Here is a 23200-nt window from a genome sequence, read left to right as displayed (position 1 = left end):
TCCTAAAGTGCTGGAATTACAGGCATGAGCCACCACACCTGGCCTAAAATATATTTTTTGTATTTGTTTCTCCTGCTGTCTAACTCTGCATTCATCACTGAGAAAAAGGAAAACTGCATTCTTTTCCCAGTTTTTCAGCGCAGCTGCTTGGATATAAACACATCCAAACAGCATCATAAATAAGTTTTGTGATCCAAAATAGCATCATATATAAGTTTGCCTTTCTTCATATTGTAGTTTTATTACAGCTGGAAGAGTGCCCAGTAATATTTTGCCAGTGATGTGACATAGTGCATTGGAATGATTGATTAGAATAGCACTCTGTCACTTTCCTTCACACTGTGGCTTTTATTAATTAAGAAATCCATTGTGTATGAATGACTTCGCCTAGACAAAAATAAGACTTACACAGCACTAAATTAGTGGTTCAGCATTTCTTTCTTTGTAATTAAATACTTGAATGTTTTCACTGGACTGCTTTTGAAATGAAATAATTTGAGAAAGCAAAAATGTCAGATTTATAGTGGAATTAAGCTGTAAATTAAGAGGATTAATAATTTATATAATTTACTTTTATGTAAAAGTAAATATAGTATCAAGAAGTACTGAAAGCAATTTCTTAAGATTAACATAATAGCTTAGTCTTATCTTTCTAAATCAAACTTTAAACTGTTTGGGTTTCGATGACACTTTCACTGAAGATGTCAACAAAACAACAATTGGAGTGTGGAGTTTGATAATTACATGATTTAACGGTGAACTTTTTAAAAGGGCTCCATAATTAGAAACAGATTTGTTTTGCTGTCAGCTCTGACACTTTGGGCAAGTCCTTTTACCCATCTGAGCCTGTTTTTTTGTTGTTTTTTGTTTTTTTATCTCTAAATTCAAAATAATTACCTCAGCTCCTCTTCTCCCGTGACGTTTTGGTAAGGCTTAAAACACAAAACAAAATGAAGCCTTCCATCATGGATGTTCCTGTGTGCTATTTAGATATGAGCCCTTAATAAGAGTCCACACGGCTGAGGCTATAGGGTGGCCTATGATGCCAATTATGGCAGCAGAGCAAAGGAACACAGTGTTTTATATTCTTTGAGTTATTTCATACAAAGAGGCTTTTTTTTTCTGAAAGCAAAATCAGTGAGTTTTTATTATTTGTCAATGTGGGAGAAAAAAAAAGACCTACAAATTGGCTTTCTCTCTGACCCTCTTTGGGAACTTACAGCACAACGTTTGATATTTCAGAATAATTGCAAACTATACCTCTAGGTTGGTACTCCATTTGGGGTTCTAAAATGTCTAATTCAGTAGGTCATGATTTGTCTCAATATGCTACACAGATAGATGTCTTAAATATGCATATGCCCTTTGGGAGGCTGAGGCAGGAGGATCACTTGAGGCCAGAAGTAAGAACCAGCCTGGGCAACATAGCAAGACCTGTTGCTACAAAATAATAATAATAATAATAAATTAGCCAGGCATGGTGGTGTGCACCTGTAGTCCCAACTATTTGGGATGCTGAGGCAGGAAGATTTCTTGAGCCCAGAGGTTTGAAGCTGGAGTGAGTTATGATTGTGCCACTGCCCTCCAGCCTGGGTAACAGATCAAGACCCTGTCTCTTAGAAAAAATGTGCATATGCACATACACATTATAGGCAATTTGTTTATCTCTTTGTCAAGAAATTTGTTGCTTATATACACATAAAGTTTCAGCTGCCTGAGATTAGTGACTGTGGGGCTGCTACTCTAGCATCACTCAGGATGTCCCTTAGTGCACTGTTTCCAGCTGGTAGGTGGGACATGAAGTCAGCTCCCCATCTTCCCTTTACCTTCTCTGACTGATAGGGCGGACTGGCTTCCCTGCCTGTCTGAGCCAATATATGAGGAATATGGTTCTCCTCTGCCATCTGAGTCCTTGAAGCCCTCAGGCTGGTTGTTTGTCCTGGCAACCTGGATTATCTTTTCTCCTTCCTCTCAGGTGAAGCAATCCTTTTTCTCTCACTCACTAGAACGAGCAAAAGTCATTTCTCCAAGACTCTCCTGTCACCCCAGTGCTAGCTAGGTGCCTCATGTTATCCTTTTCCTTCAGCAAGGATGATGAGAGGCTGAATTCACAGTCAGTAGCCAGACTATATGTAAAAATAGAATTTTGACCCACAACCTGCAGTAACCTGCCCAGGAAACCAATCCCTTATCTATGATAAACAGCCCAGGAAACCAGCATGCTATAAGTCAGACTTGCAGGAAGCCAGACTTCTGTATCTAGTAACAATCCAGGGAGCTACACAATCAATTCTGTAACAATCAGAATAGCCCCAAATAGCCAGGATTTGATTAATAACTGAAGGCTTCCCTGAATTTTGTCCACAGTTCCAACGTAAGCCCAACCAGAGAGAGCCAAATATGCACCCTCCTCTAATCACATAGGATGTCCTGCTTCTAGTTAGCCACTTCTAGCTTCCTTAGGCCAACAGCCCCCACTCAGAGCATGCCTGAAGCCTTCTCTTCCTATTATAAAGCTTTCCTACTCCTCTGCCTGCCTTTAGAGTGTCTGCCAAAACACAAGTGACAGTGGCTGACTCCCTTGCTGTAGCAAGCTTAGAATAAATAGGCTTTGCATTTCTCACTTCATTGACTTTTATTTCCACAATAAGAAATGTCACCTGTTGGTTGGGTGCGGTGGCTCACGCCTGTAATCACAGCACTTTGGGAGGCTGAGGTGGGCAGATCATGAGGTCAGGAGATCGAGACCATCCTGGCTAACATGGTGAAACCCCATCTCTACTAAAAATACAAAAAATTAGCCAGGCATGGTGGCGGGCACCTGTAATCCCAGCTACTTGGGAGGCTGAGGCAGGAGAATTGCTTGAACCTGCGAGGCAGAGGTTGCAGCAAGCCAAGAGCATGCCACTACACTCCAGCCTGGGTGACAGAGTGAGACTCTTGTCTCAAAAAAAAAAAAAAAAAAAGTCACCTGTTTTCTTTTATCTGTATATTCACACTTGAAAAACAAGGAGATCTAATCAAAGTGTATTAGGACCAGTGAGAGATTACACTTTAATGCTAGTAATTTCCTTAGCGGTGTTGTTAGAAGTATTGCAAAGAGAATTTGCTGCAATAGCATTACAGTCCCATGGTGTTTGATGTAATAACCTCGTCTCAGCACCCAGGGGGATCCCCGCCATCCTGGGATGTTGTTTCTAAGGCAGATTACACTGCTACTCGTCTTATCATGTTTAGAGTATAGGCATGTTTTGACTAAAATTTAAGCAAGCTGATTTTATCTCTTAAAAATAAGATACATAATTCCTCAAATAATAACTAATGACAAGCATATTCTTAACCAATTAGATAAAATTTAGTACACAGTATACTAATGCACCATTGTTATCAATTCATTCTAACTCCAATTTAATACACAGACTTTGCCAAGAATAGCCTTTCACAGCATCCCTTTCCTCAATTTAGAGTCAGAAACTTTCAAGGAATGTATAAAACTCTGGGACTTTTCTCAATTTCCAGTGTCTGTTTTCTCGATGCCTCTTTTTCTTAACAGCTAGTCACAAACAGTTACTAACCTAATCTTGCTTATGTTACACTGAACCCTAAGAGTTGTTTTGTTCACATGTTAAAAACAGCTCTTCCTGCATTTCTTCAAAACTGTGTTTTATTTTGCTCCTGCGAATTTACCTTTTCCTATGTTGATGTGAATATATTCTTGATCCCCTTCCATCTGCTGTTTGCTTTTGTAGCTAGAGCTTTTTCAAACTTGAAGCTATATAAGTGTTATGGGCTGAACTGTTGCTTCCCACAATTCCTACTCTGAAATTCTACTCCCCACGACCTCAGAATGTGACTGTATTAAGAGACTGTGTTTGGGTCTTTAAAGAGATAGTGAAGTTAAAAAGAGGCCATTAGGGTGGACCGTAGTCCAATTTGATTGGTGTCCTTATAAGAAGAGGAACTTTGGAAACAAAGAGAGACACCCAGGATGCATGTCCGCCAAGGAAATGCCACATGCAGACAGTGAGAAGTTGGCCCTCTGTAAGCCCAGGAGAGAGCCCTCGAAAGAAACCAAACTTGCTGACCTTGGTCTTGAACTTCTAGCCTCCAGAACTGTGAGAACAGAAATTTCTGTTGTTTAAACCACCCAGTGATACTTTGTTATGGCTGCCCTTGCAAATTACCATTAGTGACTTTCCTTCGTAAATCCCGTTACTGAAATGTGTACTAACTGCCTCAGCAAAAACTTTTCTCGGAATGGTCCTATTTTCCCACATACAAGAAAATATTTAAAGCTCAGACCAATTATGATTGATTAGAACAAAATTAAAATGGTTTAGGTCAAACCTCAAGTATCACTTGTATCATCATCTGAGTGTGTCATGGGATTGAGGATATACTAACTAAGTGATGCAAGGAAAGTGTATAGGCCAAGAGGCAAAAAGAAACCAGGTCAACAAGAAATCAATATATGGATTAGCAGAGTTTGATTCAAAATGTAAAATATGCTGATACTTTTTTTTTTACTTTCTACTGCATATCTCTAGCATGTGGAATATCATTACTTTGAGTTTGATGATCTCTTAAAAACGAATTTGAAAGACTAATAAGGGGTTTTGCCGGCTAATAGGATTTTCTTTCTAAGCATCACTAGATGGTTGGATTACATATTACAAGATTTGACTAGTCTAGGAGAAAAGGAGGTAAAAGTAAAGAAAGAAAATTCAATTATTAGAGATATATAGAAAATATGAGTGGGCTGGGCATGGTGGCTCACGCCTGTAATCCCAGCACTTTGGGAGGCCAAGGCGGGCGGATCACCTGAGGTAGGGCATTCAAGACCAGCCTGACCAACATGGAGAAACCCCATCTCTATTAAAAATACAAAATTAGCTGGGCATGGTGGTGCATGCCTGTAATCCCAGCTACACAGGAGGCTGAGGCAGGAGAATTACTTGATCCCGGGAGGCAGAGGTTGTGGTGAGCCGAGATCGCGCCATTGTACTCTAGCCTGGGCAACAAGAGCAAAACTCTGTCTCAAAAAAATAAAGAGTCAAGAAGGATTAAACAAACTGAGCACATGCATTTAATAGCACCCCCCACCTGAAACCTCACTTAAATGACAATACAAGAATAAAATGGCACAAATTGTATTTTTTAAAGGGAGACAATAGCAGATGAACAGTGTCAGCGTGTAATTTTGAAAGTGGAAAACAGAAGTAGATGATTTGGCAGATCTAAGACAGCAGAAACTGTAGCAATTACAGAGAAGCTTCCAAAGAAGAAATTCAAGGCACCTGGTACTACAGCAATTCAAGAAACTGCATGGCCTCAGAGAATAGACTTATCTACGCTGACATTTTAGGATCCCCAATTAAAAAACAAACAAACTGGCTTGACAATGCACCCAACATGGAGGCCTGTCAGACACAGGCTCTGCCCTTTCACAAGATGTCCAATTGTAGTCTCAATTTTATAGGACTGACAGCCAAGGATCACGAAACATTAAGGAGATTTTTAACACGAAAGATGAACAAAACAAAAAGAATGATGTAGCTTGTGGGAAATCGAGAAAATGTAGGGAACAAAAGAAAAACAAAATAATACCTCTAATATACTCAGAGCAATAAGAGAAGATGTGTATCTGTAAAACAAGTATGGGATACTGTAAAAAGGAAGAATTGAAGACCCAGAAAGGGCTCTCAGAAATTAAAAAGTGTGATTTGCAGAAATAAGAATTTAAAGCAGTATTAGAAGCTAAGTTAAGGAAATCTCCCAGAAGGAAAAACAAAAAGGCAAAGATGGAAGATAGAAAACATAGGATGATTAGAGGCTCAATTTAACATAGCTGACATTCAGATAAAAAGAGTTCCAGGGAGAATAGGCAAAAAAAAAAAAAGAAGAAGAAATGAAGAAATGAATAATATTAGAAGATAGTTCAGAATAGAAAAAATGTGAGTTTTCAGGTTGAAGGGTGCCACTGAGTACCCTGCCTTTACATTAAGGCATATTGCCATGAAATTTCAAGAAACAGGAAAGAAAGAGAAGGTCTTAAAATCCTCATCATCATCATAGCTATACTTGCATATAGTGCAAGCACTTTTCACACATTTAATTCTTAAAGGGCCTCTTGAGAAAAGCTTTATAAACTAAGGCACAGAGATAAGTAATTTGCCCCAAATCACACAGCAAATAAGTGGCAGAGTCAGATCTCCAAACATGCAGTCTGGCTCCAAATTTTATACCCCTAAACACTATACTATCCTGACTCCTATAAAGCTTCTAGAGAAGGAAGGATAGGAAGAGGGAGAATCTAAAAGTCATCAGGTTTCCAACAGCAACACTAAAAGTTATAATGTAATGGACTAATCCTTTCAAAATTATAAAAAGACATTCCTCTTGGCAATAATTTTGTGGATATGACATGGAAAGCACAGACAACAAAAGCAAAAATGAACAAGTGGGACTACAGCAAACTAAAAAGTTTCTGCACAGCAAAAGAAACAATAAAATGAAAAAGCAATCTATGGAACAGGAGAAAGTATTTGCAAACCATATATCTGATAAGGGGTTAATAACCAAAATATAGAAGGAACTAATGCAACTCAATGGCAAAAAAACTGAATAACCCAATTTAAAAATTGGCAAAGGGCCTAAGTAGACATTTTTTCAAAGACCTGCAAATGGCCAACAGGTATATGAAAATGTGCTCAACATCACTATTCATCAGAGAAATGCGAATCAAAAGGACAGTGAGATATCACCTCATACCTGTTAGGATGGCTATTATGAAAAAAATGAGGTAACAAGTGTTGATGAGGATGCAAAGAAAAGGGAACACATGTACACTGTTGGTGGAAATGTAAATTGGTGCCATAATGGAAAACCATGTGGAGGTTCCTCAAAAAATTAAAAATAGAATTATTATACAATTCAACAGTCCTACTCTAATTATATATCTAATGGAAATGAAGTCAGTAACTCAAAGAGGTATCTGCACCCCCGTGTTTATTACAGCATTATTTACTATAGTCAAGATATGGAAACAACCTGAATGTCTATCAACAGGCAAATGAAGAAAAACTTTAGTATATAAACACAATGGGATATTATTCAGCCTTTAAAAAGAAGGATATCCTGCCACATGCAACAACATGAATGAATCTGGAGGACATTATGCTAAGTGAAGTAAGCCAGATATAGAAAGACAAACACTGTATGATATCACTTATATGTGGCATCTAAAAAAGTCAAACTCATAGAAGCAGAGAATAGAGCAGTGGTTGCCTGGGAGTGGGGAGTGGGAGAAATGGGGACATGTTGGTTGAAGAGTACAAACTTTCAGTTATAAGATGTATATCAACTCATTGATATATATTGCCCTTTGCCTTGTTCACTTTGAATATATTCAATCTCTGTCAACTATACATTTTTAAAATAAAAATAGTATCACACTAGATAACAAGAAAAAAATTATAAAACAAAATTATTTACTAACTAAATAAATTTACAACCTAAATACCTAACCATACACACTCAAACCTTCAATCAGGTATAAGAGCTTGAGACACTTTCAGAATTCAATTTTACCTGTGGTGTGTCCTTCCTCAGGAATAACTAGAATCCAGTAATTAGGGAGCCCAGTACCAGGCAGAGGCCAAGGGGAGTTCCATGGCCATCATCATCTAGCAAATTCAGACAGTAACTGATCCAGATCAGAGCAAGGCAAATGGCTGCGGGAGGGTTATCTTCAGAAAAAGAGAAAAAGCAAGAAAGTAATCAATTTATAATGTTTTTGGCAAAAGGTAGAATAAAAGCATCAAGGGATTTAATAGCACTCTTTCAGAGTTAGTGAAGAAATAGTATGAAGTGCATTACAAAATAAAGCCAATGAAAAGGGGACAGAAAAAAAATGCTGCATGTGACATGAAGTGTAATCATTACAACTCAAGTATGAATGATACCTGATTGTCATACTATTATAAAACCTGAATGTGAATTTGCACTGATATGAAAGATTTGTGAAATTAACTGTATTACAAGGATGGAGAAGGAAGACATTAAATTGTTTAATTGTTAACCTTCTATAATAGATGAGTGATAATGCCTCAAATTAATAAATCAAGAATAGCAATATAACAGGCTATTTAGATATAAGCAGGTTAACAACAGAAGAAATATTTTAAATAATTAGCCGGGAGTTATACTGAGGATTGGGGAAGAGTTGGAGAAGAGACTGCAATTCTCATTATAAGACCTGTAGTAATATTTGACTTTAAAAAATGTGTATTTTTTAATTGAACAAAAACATTAGTAAGAAAAATAGTTAAATAAAAATGAGTTAGGCTTTAGTTTGCTTCTCAAAAGAAAGACTTTCTGCAGGAAGTCAATTTTAAGAGAAGATTTTAAAAATAGGACTTAATTTGATGTTACAGAGAAAAGTACAGCATCCAGGTGGCATGAGCAGGCTGTCTGGGGAGATGAGGAAACTGCTCCTAACTGGATGCAGGTCTGGGATTCAGGAGAGCTGGGGCAGGATGTGGGATTCATGAGGTCAGAACTGGGAAGGCCATTTATAGATGCCTAGAGTGAAAAATATAGCTAAGGTGTAACTGGTGAGGCACATGCTGAGATGGCTTTATGAAGCCATGTGCTGCCGTAGAAAGAATCAAACCTGTGCTTTCTAAAGTCTCTTTTGCCACAAGAAGAAATGGGAATTAGAAACTGGTGTCTTTCGGGCAACCAACTGAATACTGATGCAATTAGTTTCTCTTTCAGTTTTATGAAATAGATGAGTTTAGAGTCAAGGGAGTAATATTTCAGAAGAGGCTTTTAAAAATGTAGGCATTGCCTGCTGTTTGTGAGCCTTCAGGTTTTCTGTTGGAATTTCCTAAAAACTGGATTATTTGCCATTGAAGACAAGTGGGTGGTATTAGTGTAGAGAAAATTCATATTCTCTCTCCCTCTCCCTCTCTTCTGCACACACATACGCTGATATGGTCTGAATGTTTGTGTCTCCCCCACATTCATCTATTGAAATTTGACTCCCAAGGTGATAGTATTAAGAGGTGGGGCTTTGGGTGATGATTATGCCTTAAGGGCAAAACATTCATGAATGAGATTAGTGCCCTTACAAAAGAGTCCCCAGAGAGTTTGGTTGTCCCATCCACCATTTGTCGAGGCAGCTAGAAGGTACCATCTATGAACCAGAAAGTGGCCCTCACCAGAATTGAATCTGCCTACATCTTGAGTTTGAACTTCTCATACTCCAGAACTGTGGGAAATAAATATCTGTTATTTATAATCTACCCAGTTTATGGTATTTTGTTTTTGTCCTGAATAGACATACACATGCCGAGTGTAATTAGGATTGATCTTTAATTTCCTCTAACCATGTGAATATTATATTACGTGATTCCTTGGTTTGTGCTTAAAAACAGCATTCTTAGGTCCCATCCCGGATTTCCCCCCAGTGCCCCTAAAGGCCCCTGGTTTGTCTTTCCAAAGTTGGAAAACGCCTTCAAACACATGTCATCAGGTTTAACTGGTGGGATTTTTTGGTTCCCTCAGTTTTCCCCATTTGCCAAAGATGTTGAACTGTCTTGGTGGCATGCCCTCTGCAGGGCGCTCACCAGGGAGCATGTTGCTCTCTAAGCACCTTGCAAGTGCTCCTGACCAGTACCCACAGTCACAGGTACCCAGTAAATCTCTGAGACCAGGAGGCTGGGGTACCTCGCAATTGCTCTTTTGCTCGAGGGGAGCAGGGCCCCTTGAGTCCACTGCAGCCTGAAATCCCTGTGCCTAAATGTGACCTTCTCTAATTGAGGAGGAGATAGTACAGAGGGGTTTTGGCACCACCTGTGCTGACCACCAGACTGTGGGATTTAGGCTCATTAACCACACAAGGAGTCATTTCATCATCCCTAAACTGAAGAAATTTCAGCTAGATTAACAGTATGGTTCCTTCCCAATGTAAAATTCTGTAAGAAAGTATTGAACTCAAAAGAGAAAATAAGCGACTGTTTTATAATCAAAATGGACTAGATAGTACTGAGTTAGTAGTACTAGTTAGGACTGAGAATGTCTGGTGGCATATTAGGGCATGTGTTCAGAGAGACCCTTCTGCACCAGTTTGCCCCTTTTGAGCACGAGTCTGTCATCCAGTACATGTGTGCCACATATAACAAGGAAAAGCCAAAACATTTCTTAAAAAATTATTACTATTCACGAAAAGTACCTTGGCAACACTTCCCAGGGGAGGCTGTGGGTGAAGGGGCAGGAAGGGCAATGTTTCATATATAAAAGATAGTCTATTCTTAAGTAAAAAATGTTAAATTATATTGAGTGATGCAATCACTTTAACATTTTTCCCTAGGGCTTTGTGCCCTATTTTTAGTAACAAAAGATCAGCTGTTTCCAACCATGCCCCTAAATCAGCTTTAAAGAAATAAAAGAATCTTCTAAAATATCAGGAGGGAATAAAGGAATAGGTTGTCCTTATAAGGCACCAATAACCTCATTTGAAAAGTAATTTTATGTGTTAGAGGAGCAATTCTTCCCTTGTCTGTGTGTCAATTTAACAAGAATGTAACAGATTTATCTAGCAACTTAAACAAGTGACAATATCCAGAGTGAGTGTTGGCAATTGAGGTGCATTTGGGAAGATGTGAACATACAGCGAAATCCTAGGGTGCATTTTTTTCTTTTCCATGGTCTTGGGGTTTTTTACAAAATGGTTGTATGCTCTCAATCTGTGGATCTGACAAAGTAAGGGCTTTTGAATGTCTCTTTATTGAAATGCGATCTTTGCCCTGTTCTTCATGAACTGCCCACTTGGGATGAAGTAATATGGAACCTAGTTGGTGGAACAGAGCCCTAAACATGGATAAATGACCAGGACAACGCCAAGCTGGGCAATGGTAGTAGCAGGTGTAGATGTGGTCAAACTATGCCCCCAGTTGGCAAACAAGATGAACTCCCTCTGGCTCAAAAGTTAAAAGCAGAACTAAGAGGCCATGTCAAGGTGAGGAGGCAGTCACGCTCTCTGTGTCCTTGGAAGGTGTTTCAGAATTTGTTTTTCTGCAACCAAGTCAAAGAACAGTTTTTGAAAACAACTACAACTGGAAATTCCTCCATCTGACCACCAACAAGACCACCTAGCACCAACAAGCCAACCAACCACCTGGAACCAGCCAATTAACCACCAGAGACTGGTGATCTGGGGCTGAAAGGCCATCCAGCCAACATTCTTCCTTGCTCCCAACACTCCTCACCTGCCCTGCCCTGCAGTTTTGGCCTTTGTCATCTCCTTCCCCCCGCCACCCTTCCTGGGAGTGTACTTTCCAAAGCTGCATCTCCCTAATCTGCAGATTGCTTTTGAAAAATAAAGTTCTCCTTTGGCCTCCCCACATCTCATTGGTCTTCCGTTAACAATATTAACACAAATTAATGCATACATATCATAAAATTATAAAATCAACCAAAATCTCTTTCTTGCCCTAGAATATTTTAATAGCTAGTGTTTTCATGTGATATAAAAAGTATTCCCTTGTTTGGCTGGGGCTGGCACCATGTTTCCACATAAATCTCTGTCTATATCACAGCCTTCTGGCTCTGCAGCCATCCTGATTCCATATCACCTTCTTATGTGGAATCATGAGTTTATAAAGCAGGACTTGGTAAAAAGACACTCTACACATTATCTCGTGCTTTGCTCTAACCAATAATTGATCATTTTGCTTGACCAATTCAAATGATAGAGAACCATGATTTACAAAGAAACTCAATCAATCTTTAGAATATTCTACTGGTTTTCCATTTTTCCATAAAAATCTGTTTTTTGGTTTGTAACCTATTAGTTCTAGTCCCATGCTCTTGAGTCACTGAAAATAGATCTGCCCCTGATTCTTGTTGAAATCAGCTAACATGTTCCTCCCTGTCCATGAATCTATATACTCAACTATTTCATCCATTTCTCATAGAACACAGAAATGATTGAAATTATTAACATTTCAAAATTCTGGTGTATCTGTACAGCTTTGTCTCTGTCCTGAAGTAGGAAAGCTGTTTTTATGCTTGTCTCCTGATGGAAATCCATCTTAGTTTGCTGCTCAGATCCTCACCTTTGCCTTCTCCCCTACCCACCCTACTGTCCCCCACCTCCCACTCCTAATCAACACCCAGTGTGATGGTGCAGATTGCCCAGAGGATCTTCCACAGGATCTACCGTCACCTGCCCCTCCACTCCTAGTCTCTACTGGTCATAAGCTCCCTTTCTGGCAGGGGCTAAGGCTCCCTCACAAATGAGAAGTCAAGGAAATATTTTTGTTTGGCTGAATTCTAAACACTAGTGCATTTATTTGTTTTGGTTTGCTGTTAATGTTATATATCAAAAATCCTCCAGTGGATACTCTTCTGATATGTTGAATGTTTAACTTATATTGACCATCTTTAATGGCATCTTTGTGAGGAACTCTGTTGAAAGGTGAAATTACGTCTGTGATTTCTGTTCCAGTTTAGAGGCTGGAGTGTCACATGGAAGTTATTACAGTGTACTGATGTAATCTGATCAACAAGATCAGTACTCTTCTTAGGTTGTGGTTTCAAAAAAAAGTCTTTAGGCAAAACAGATTGTGGAGAGGGTTATTCTGTGAAGTTTCTAGGAGTTATTGAAATTGTTATGTTATAAAAACTTTTGGTTTGGAAAAGTCATGAGATTTGGGGTTTTTATAGCTGTGACAAGAAGTCCCAGAGGAAATTGAAATATAAGCAATCTAGATAAGGCAAAGAATTAGTTCCTTTCTGAGACGAACCTCAAAAAAAACAAGAGTCATTATGAGGTGCTCCACCAGGCCCTTTTTCAGTCCAGTAAAGCCAGAATCTTCCCTCTAGTCTTTAGAAAGAAACTGGAAGTTAATCCGAGATGAAGGCCTTGCAGTGATGGATAAAGCCAAAGGTCTCTTCCTGCCTGAGGATGAAAACCTGAGGGAAAAAGGGGACTGGAGCCAGTTCACGCTGTGGCAGCAAGGTGAGTTTCTGACTTCTAGATGGTTCTCTGCAGCCCAAACCTGATGGGAAGTGGGTACTGACAAGAGTCTTCTGGTGATGCTTCCCAGAGCTGGGATTCCCAGGCTTAAACGAGGGGCCCAAAAAAACCTAGATTTTTGAAATCCATTCATTGTTTTTGAAAACTACATCTGAGCCCTTATTTGTATGTGTCCAGGTATATTGCTGTGTGTGTATATCCATGTGTGTATTTGGATAAATATTCATGAATAGTGTTCTGATTTTTCTGGTCTTTCCTGTTGAATGATGTGTTACTGACTGTAACCCTACTGTGTAGGCATAACTGAAAAATCTAGCAGGTGTTATCAGTGTATTAGAAAGTTATGTCCCTGAGCATCATTTGCTCCTATAAAATGGAGGTGACGTTGCATGGCAAAATGATATCAACACGGATGATGGTAAAAATGGTAACACACCAGCTGGTAAAAATGGTAACACACCAGAGTGACAAGACAATAATAACTGCTGTCTCAGCTCTTCAGGAATAGGAAGTGGCTCATACTGAACTTCATATTTTTTTAGCTTAACCCAGGTACAGGCACACATATGGAGCTCCAGCGTGTGTGTATGTGTGTGTGTGTGCGTGTGTGTGTGTTTTCAGTGAATTGATATATTCATCTATCTTTAAAATGAGGAGCATTTAAGACTCCAATTTTCTCCTTGAAAAGTGGAGTTAGCCTGGATTAACAATAACTATATAAAAGTAAATTTATTTTGAAGACTAAACAGCACGTGCTGCATATCTTCAGCTACAGAAAACAAATTCAGATTGTAATATGCATCTAATTTACACTAAAGGACAAATAAGGACAGTGGTTTATCTCAATTATGCTTTCAGAATGGTTTCTATGTAAGAATAAGAGGAACTACTTTAGTAATGTTTTCAGGGATACTTCCATCTAAAGAGAGAGAACCATAAAGAAAAGTGTCTATCCACTTTTTGCCAACAAGAATTTTTTAAATGGAGCTATACAATCCATATTTGGGCAATATGCTAATTTACCTCTGACATGTCACTAAGATGAGTCCATTCTATTGGCACTTATGTGTTCACCTTGTACTTTGATTCCATTAACATCCTTATGCATCACAGAACCTACTGGGCCTCCTAGAGCAATGCTTCAGAATAGCAGGCATCCTAGCACTAATTTCTAGAAACTGTAGTTTCTGCCAAAAAAAAAAAAAAGTATTTGATAAAATTAATATGCAAAGTATTATAGGATATAAAAAGCATTAAGCAAGAAAGAAAATAAATTATGGAGTCAATAATGTTGTTGGAGGTAACATTTTGTCTTCTACATTTTCACATAGGTGGAATATACCTGATTTTCCATGAACTACTTAACTTCTTAGAATGTGTTTTACTTTCTTAGTATCTTTGTTAAATTCTTATTCCCATTGAATGGAATTTACATGTTCTTTCTTTCTCTTTCTTACATGTGATAGAATTGTGTCTACCCTGTTGTTTAAAAAACTCATAAAATTATTTCTCACTTACATGATTATGATTATATTTTCTAATTCCTGAATTTGTATTTTCTCTTCCTTCTCCTGTTCTTTTTTGTTTTGTTTTATTTTTCTTTTAAATATTTTGATTGGAATTCCTTAGTAAATTTATTTTCATTCTTTCTTATTAATAATAGCATTTAAAGCTATGCACTGACCTACAGTTACAGGTTTGGATGTATTCCCTACACTGTAATATATGGTATTTTTACCTGAGTTATTTTCAAAAAAAGACTGCATTTCTGCCCTGGTTTCCACATTGACTTAAAATGATCTATATGTATATGTGCCTGTGTGTGATTGAGCATGTGTTTTCCAATCTGTTGTAGTTGCTTCAACATTGATTGATTGATTGGCAGGATCTTGCTCTCTTGCCCAGGTTGGCGTGCAATGGTGCAATCCTAGCTCATTACAGCTCCAACTCCTGGCCTCAAGCAATTCTCCTCCCAAGTAGCTAGGACTACATGTGTGCGTCTACATACCTGGCTAATTTTTAAATGTTTTTATAGAGATAGGGTCTCACTATATTGCCCAGGCTGGTCTTGAACTCCTTGGCTTCAAGTGACCCTCTTACCTTGGCCTCCCAAAATGCTGAGATTACAGGTATAAGCCACTCCACTCAGCCTGCTTCAAATTTTAAAACTGAATTTCTAGTTTTATTTTATTGTCATAAAGGGATAAAATTCACATAGTTTCCCTTTTAGGAAGATTTTTTAAAGTTCTTTATGGTCTTTGGTTTGTGATTCCATGCTTCTAGTGGGGGAATCCAGTAACTATTTTCTAGAAACAAATTCATAGTTTAAAGAATAAATTTGGGGCTCGGTGTGGTGGCTCATGACTGTAATCCCAACACTTTGGGAGGCCGAGGCAGGCAGATCATTTGAGGTCAGGAGTTCAAGACAAGCTTGACCAACACGGTGAAACCCCATCTCTGCCAAAAAGACAAAAAATTAGCTGGGCATAGTGGCACGTGCCTGTAATTCCAGCTACTCGGGAGGCTGAGGTAGGAGAATCACTTGAACCCAGGAGGCAGAGATTGCAGTGAGCCGAGATCATGCCACTGCACTCCAGCCTGGGCAACAGAGCGAGACTGTCAAAAAAAAAAAAAAAAAGAAAGAAAGAAAGAAAATAATAAGTGTGATGGCAAGTACTATCGTAGCTTATGCTGAAGCAGGATGGCATCCATGTCAGGTGCTGTGGTTCAGAAATAGAGGAGAAGAATTCTGGAGTGGAAGGGACAGGGGCGGACGTCATAGGGAGGGAGGTGAGTGACCAGTTTGCTTAGCCACATTGAGAACTCAGATTCAGAGAAAAAGGTGATGAATATCTGGCTCAGTAAAGATTTAGCCGTTGTCTAGTTAGCAAATCATGCTGCTGGGTAGTCGAATGCCTAAGGCTGATGCTGGAAGTTTTGGGAAGTAAAATTACGGTAGGTCTCTTCTATGGACTGAACTGTGTACCCCGCAAAATTCATATGTTGAAGCCCTAACCCCCAGTGTGACTGTATTTGGTGATAGGGCCTTTAAGGAGATAGTTAAGATTAAATGAGGTCATAAGGATGAGGCCCTGACCCAATATAACTGATTCCCTGATAAGAAGCGGAAGAAACACTGGGTGTGTTAGTCTGTTCTCACACTGCTATGAAGAAACACTAGGTAATTTATACCAAAAAGAGGTTTAATTGACACATAATTCCACATGACTGGGGAGGCCTCAGGAAACTTACAATCATGGTGGAAGGCACCTCTTCACAGGACAGCAGGAGAGAGAATAAGTACCAAGTGAAGGGGGAAGCCCCTTATAAAACCATCAGATCTCGTGAGAACTAACTCACTATCATGAGAACAGGATGGGGAAAACCACCCCCATGATTCAGTTATCTCCACCTGGTCCCTCCCATGACACATGGGGATTATGGGAACTATAATTCAAGATGAGATTTGGGTGGGGATGCAGCCAAACCATATCACTAGGGATGAGAAAATGACGTGTGAGGACACAAGAAGAAGGTGGCCACCTAGGAGCCAAGAAAAGAGGCCTCAGGAGAAACCAAGCCTGGCCACACCTTAATTTTGGACTTTCAGCCTCCAGAACTGTGAGAAAATACACTTCTGTTGTTTAAGCCACTCAGTCTGTGGTATTTGCTTGTGGCAGCCCTAGCGAACTGATACAGTATCCAAGTAGTTTCATTAGGACTGAACTATGTTTTTTTAAAGGACTGGCTTTTTAGAGTTGAAGGAAAAAACCAGAATCAGCAAATATAAATAATGATTTTGTTCCCCAAAAATAACTTTTTAAATTGTTATGTGAATATTATGGAACGTCTATTTTGCTCTTATCTTAATAAGTGCCACCAACAGTGATTAAAATATGCCACACATGTGCAGTCATTTTTTTCTTCCAGAGCCCATGGGAAAGGTGCTAACTGACCCCAACAGCCTTTCTGAATAAGCTGAGGCTGAACCTCTAAGTCCTTCTCAACGCAGTGTTCTAGGTGGCTGCTAGCAACTGATCAGAATTGTCATGCAAGATGGAACCTGTTGTTGCCCCAGAAGCAGAGCCTTGAAATTTATAAAAGATACAACCCAGGATATCAGTTCCATGAATAGCCCTCACAAAGTATATTCATGTGTAAGAAGTGATAAATTTAAATGATTCTTCCAGATTTGCATTGGCTGTTAGATCTCTTTCTAGAGCTATTTTCCCAAAGAAGCAAGGTTTATTACTTCTTGAGGGTTAGTTTAACGCTGGTGAGAAATAATCAAACGACAACAAAGCCACAGTGAGTTGCAGATGCTGGGCATTCCTCTTCAGGCTGAGTTAACTGGTTTGCTCCTGCACAGCTGCCTTCTAACTTACAATGCAACAAAATGAGAAATTATGCTTTAAAGCATAGGCTTTGGAAACCAACAATCCTAGGTTAGAGTCCTGGATGCACCGCTTGTTAGCTGTGTGATGTGTGCATGTCCCTGAATCTCTGAGCTTCAAATCCCTCATCTGAAAAATGGCAAATAGTGCCTCAAGTATGGGGTTGTTACTAGGATCAGTGAGCACTAGATGAAAGACTTGGCACAGTTATCCAATATATGATAGTAATATTATATTTTTATGGTCTAACAATAGCACATGATGTAATAACAGTAGTGGAGAGGTGGTCTCTGGTCTGGTTAAGAGCATGAACACTGGGTCCAGTCTGGCTGAATTGAAATTCCTGCTCTGCTGTTCGCTATGTGACCCCTCTGTGGCTCAATTGCCTTTCTATAAAATACAACACTAATTGAGCCTTCTTATGACATGTTGTAGACATCAAATGAGGCACTCTCATCATGCAGAGTGGTTCCTGGCCTGTCGTGAGCATCAAGGAACTGCCGTTGCATTCCTTGGACCCTCATGATCAGACGTGAAGAGTTAAAATGACCAGTGACAGTGCATGAATGCCCAGAGTCTACTGCACAGAGAATCTGGGTTTACAGACCAGAAAGATAAATGTGTCTAAAGAGCTAGAGGTGTTCTCTAATTCCTTGAAAATCTCAGGGACACAACCCATTTGGTTACCCATTCATCACCTGTCATTCAGGTAAGGCACATCTGTTCTCCAGGTAGCACATGCTCAGCCACCTGGTGCTTGTGAGAACTCCAGGCCACCTATGGTTGTTCCCCAAGCCACCAGTTTCACTTAACTGCTGCCTGGACAGCACAGAGCTCAGAATTGGGGACTCCTGCCAAGCAGCCCCAGGCCCTGCATACCAGAAGACTTGGAAAGCCCAGGCTCAAAAACACTTTACGGTGACTCGTAGGTTTATGTAATATTCACCCAAACTGACATTTATTGTTCATTTGGGGAACTCCATTAATAACTAAAAATAGCAATTAACATTTTATTCAATTAAGAGCCAAAAAGGTTACTTAGAAAAAGCTAAGTTGTTTTCTAAAACATTGAGCTCCATTTGATTGGGGTGAATACCTTTTAGTTGCGTTTTTTGTAACTCTTATTTTATTCTCAGTATGTGATTATCTTAGGACACAATTAACATTAATTAAATAAAATTAAACTCAGCTTTAGATGTAGCAGTCTCTTTTAGGAATCTTGAATAGGGAATTAAAATGTCTCTGACTTTTAAAAATCCCATTGTTTTACTCCCCCGTTAGAGCAGATGACATTGTGTACATTCTGAGCACATCTTCCCTAATAAGCAGGGGCTTTATAGAGTGTAAAGAAATTTGCATAGTTCAGGATACTTAAATGACATGTCCCAGAATCTGTGCTCTTGACAGTTAATCATAGAATATGTCCCCTCTCAAAGACGCCTTCTTCATTTAAATCCTATTCTTTATCATCATATAAAGGATGATCTGGATATGGAAAAGACATTGAAGTCCAATAAAAATAGTGTTTTGGCAACTAATATAGTCCTAGAAATGCATTTCTAAGTTAGAAATATAATATAAGCTATTTTCCTTCTTTAGGGGATGTATTAGTTTCCTGTGGCTGGTGTAACAAATTACCACAAAACTTAATAGCTTAAAACACAGACACATTTATTATCTTATAGTTCTAGAGGTCAGAAGTCTACAATAGATCACACTGAGCTAAAATACAAGTGTCACCAGGGCTGTATTCCCTCTGGAGTCTCCAGCTTCTAGAGGCTGCCCACATTCCCCGGCTTGTGGCCCCCTTCCATCTTCAGAGCCAGCAGTGGCCAGTCAAGTCTTTCTCATACTGTATCACTCTGACACTTACTCATCTGCCTCCTCCCACATTTAAGGATGCTGTGATTACCTTGGGCCCATCCAGGTAATCTTGGATAATCTCCCTATTTTAATGTGAGCTGATAAGAAATCTCAGTGCCACTTACAGCCTTAATTCCCTCTTGCATGAAAGACAACATATTCACAGGTTATGGGATGAGGGTATGGACATCTTTTGGGAGCTAACTATTATTTTTCCTGTCACAGGGGAAAAAATAAGTACAGTTGGCCTTTGAACAACGTGAATTTGAATGTTATGGGTCCGCTTATGTAAGAATTTTTGTCAATATATTGGAAATTTTTTTGAGATTTGTGGCAATCTGAAAAAAATTTGCAGATGAACCTTATAGCCTGGAAATATTTTTTAAAATTAAGAAAAATTAGGTATGTCATGAATGCATGAAATATATATAGGTACTAATCTATTGTATCATTTACTATATATATACAAATCTATTATAAAGAAATAAAATTTATCAACATATGCATGGAAGCACTTACAGACCATACATAGCACCATTCATAGTCAAGAGAAATGTAAACAAACATGAAGATGCAGTGTTAAATCATAACTCCATTAAATTAACTGTAGTACAGATTATACTACTGTAATAATTTCATAGCTGCTTCCTGTTGCTATTCGGCAAGCTCAAGTGTTTTCAGTATCTGCTTAAAATACCATGTGATACTGTCGTCTCCATGTGAGCAGTTCCTCTCTCTGGTAAATTGCATATCACGGTGAAAAGTGGTCTCTTATGGTTCTTGTGTATTTTTCCTTGTGTTTAATGCAATGCTGCAAACCTCGAATAACACCATGGGACCTATACAAAGAGCAACTAATGATGATGGACACGCTGCCAAGAAGCAGAGAAAAGTCATGACCCTACAAGAAAAAGTTGAATTGATTGATATGTACTGTAGATTAAGGTCTGTACCTGTAGTTGCAGGCCATTTCAGACATTCAATTCATCTTGTAAACAGATGATGTAAACTTATGGTATCGATAAAATACCGTACAGTACTGTAAAAGTATTTTCTCTTCCTTATTATTTTCTTAATACCATTTTCTTTTTTTCAGCTTACTTTAGTGTAAGACTATAGTATAGAATACATATAACATACAAAATATGTTAATCAACTATTTATGATATAGGGTAAGGCTTCCAGTCAACAGTAGGCTATTAGTTGTTAAGTTTTTGGGGAGTCAAAACTTAACATGCATGGAGGATCGAAGCCCCTAATCCCTGTGTTATTCAAGGTCAAAGGCCTTTAACCTGTGTCTTGTCTGTTAGACATTCTTAGTCAAATAGTCCAACACCGAGTGAAGAATTTGGATCCCTGCTCTGCCAGTCACTACCTATTGGAGCAAGACACGTCTTCTTTATTGATAAATTTTTATTTATTTCCAATAAGCCTTTTGCATTCCTACTTCATCTTCTCATGTTTACTCAATCTTCTCATTCCTGCAGTGAGGATGACATATAGCTCTCACCTCATCTAAATGGGATAAGTTTAAGCTTTACTGTGATTTGTTTCCAACAATTATGTTATTTATTCTAGGAAGAAGAAATGAAAATGCCTGCAAAGGAGCTCCTAAAACCTGTACCTTACTAGAAAAGTTCCCCGAGACAACAGGATGCAGAAGAGGACAGGTACCAAGAGTGTCGTGCTGGGGAGAATACAATTAATTGTTAGGAATAAGGGCGTGTTGACCTTTACAAAGAAATGGTTGTTTCCTTTGGCCCAATGAATGCCTCTTTTTACATGCCCTTTTTACTGAAACATAATTTTATGTGGTTGACGTCAGAATTGAGGGTGGAAAATGTTCAGTGTTTATAGCTTTGTGGAAAATGTGAGTGCTTATTTTTAGTTCCTTCACAAAGAAATAAGACTTGAATATAAATATTAAATCTTACAAAGGCTCTAATCCAAACTGACAGTAATTTTGTACTGTCACCTTAACTTAGCAGTTCCTCCACACCTTGATAAATGGCTGAATGGAGTGTCATGTTTTCTATGCAGATCAAATATTCCATCATGCACCCCGGGACTCACGTGTGGCCGCACACAGGGCCCACAAACTGCAGGCTCCGAATGCACCTGGGCTTGGTGATTCCCAAGGAAGGCTGCAAGATTCGATGTGCCAACGAGACCAAGTATGGGTCCTCTGTTATCCGTCATATCCGTCACCTCAGAGGATGAGAGTTTGTTACAACACAGTTGTGTTCCTTTGGATTACTTATCTTCTTTTGTAGCTGAAGTAGACTGGAGCAAAGTGATATTAATCCAAACTCTTAAGTCTATATCCCTTCTTGGTGCTTTCTATTAGCCTGGAGACATTGCCCAGCTCTAGGGCTGCCCTCCTCCATTATTTCTCGGCAGAGTACTTATCTAGTTGAGGAGCTGCCTTGTTTCTCTCTCTGGGTAGACAGATGTGCATTCAGAGTCAGCCAACATGCATTGAGCCCTGCAGATGTTATGCATTGTGCTTCCTGCTTTGCAACTTGACTTATTCATGACTACAAGAAGTACCCCTAACTGAAGAACTCACCCCATGATATTTATACGTTTTGATATAGAGGAGATGGTATGGTGCAATGGAAGCTGGCTGCCTTTTTCAAATCCCAGCTCTAACACCTAACCTGTGTAACCTTGGCTAGTTACTTAATCCCTTCAAACATCAGCCTTCTTGCTTATAAAATTGGCAGTGATAACATCTACTTTGCAGGGTTGTTGTATGGATTAACTGGAATAATGCCTATAAGGTGCTCAGTCCATGTTCTGGTATCAGTCGGGACGTGATGAATGTTAGATCTCCTCTCCCTCCCTTGCGTGTTACTTTCCTAATCCTGACATGTTTATTCATGATCTTTTGAACAAACCATACTTGCTCTGGCTTCTGTACCTATGATGCTGATAATCTCTGTCCCTAGAATGCCCGTCTTTTCACCTGTCCAAAATAAACCTATTACTAAGATCCAATTTAGTTTTATAAAAATAGAACCTCTCAGAGTATATATCCTCAGTAATCCCATTCCTATCTTCTATTACTCTTTATTCATTAATATATATTACCCTTATCTCCATAGCAAGCTGTATGTAAGCTCCTGGAGATCAGAAAGCAAGTTATTGTTGTCTTACACATTTCTTATTGTTCTTAGTAGAGGTCTGAGTGGAGGATGAGTGTTCAGGGGTCTGCAGAATTGTCTATTTGATTATTGGCAGATAACTGCCCTGGGCAGCCCATGGTGCTGTGGGAAATTCAGAGATGACTCAGAAGGGGCCGTCCTCTTCTGAGGACACCTAGCAAGGTGTGTCTGCTCAGGAAGATAACACAAGATTGAAGGCCACCGTGGTCATAGAAGAGGTACTACAGATGGCCTCTCTACAGATAAGCTAAAAATACTACAGATGGCTCCATGAGCAGGAGCCTCACCTGCTCACAGACACTCAACTTGCAGAGTGGTGGTTTTTAAAGACAAGAAGGATTCGGACATTGAAAGCTAAAGAGGGGTATTCTGGAACAGTATCCATTAAAGGCACAGAGGCCAAAAATTATGGCCACATATGAAGAATATTGAATAATAATTCAGCAGCCAGCAGTGTATGGTACATAAAGAATAAGGTTGCAAAGTGAAAGAGTCTTTTAGAAACTAAATCATAGGAGGCTTTGAATCCCAAACTAATGGGATCAGACCTTTGTTAGGAAGTTACTGTGGAACCCATGGGTGAATCCTATGGGGACAGTGGGAAGAACAATTAGCAGGCTGTCACAGCAGCCCACCCAAAAGATAAACAGAGCTGGAATTGGGATGCTGGAAAGAAATGGAGACTAGAGAGCAGATGCAAGAGGTGACTCTTGAATGTGTGATACAGGAAT

At 39.1% G+C, this 23200-nt stretch overlaps 1 protein-coding gene across 72 annotated transcripts in view; it reads left to right on the top strand.

Moving 5' to 3' along the window:
- Nucleotides 1-23200, top strand: part of ASPH (aspartate beta-hydroxylase) — a 214037-nt gene that overhangs the window by 175589 nt on the left and 15248 nt on the right. For 68 of the 72 annotated variants that reach the window (NM_001413901.1, NM_001413909.1, NM_001413895.1 and 65 more), the window contains 3 exons: nt 12892-13027; nt 20881-20972; nt 21343-21476. In NM_001413901.1, coding sequence (NP_001400830.1) covers nt 12892-13027; nt 20881-20972; nt 21343-21476 — 362 coding nt within the window. The remainder of the gene's footprint in view (nt 1-12891; nt 13028-20880; nt 20973-21342; nt 21477-23200) is intronic. The other 4 variants (NM_001413897.1, NM_001413896.1, NM_001413893.1 and 1 more) reach the window with 1 other exon arrangement.

This window comes from Homo sapiens, chromosome 8 (genome assembly GCF_000001405.40).
Source record: "Homo sapiens chromosome 8, GRCh38.p14 Primary Assembly".
Taxonomy (NCBI): domain Eukaryota; kingdom Metazoa; phylum Chordata; class Mammalia; order Primates; family Hominidae; genus Homo; species Homo sapiens.
Note: the sequence above shows the minus strand (reverse complement) of the source record. Positions and strands in the feature narration are given on the sequence as shown.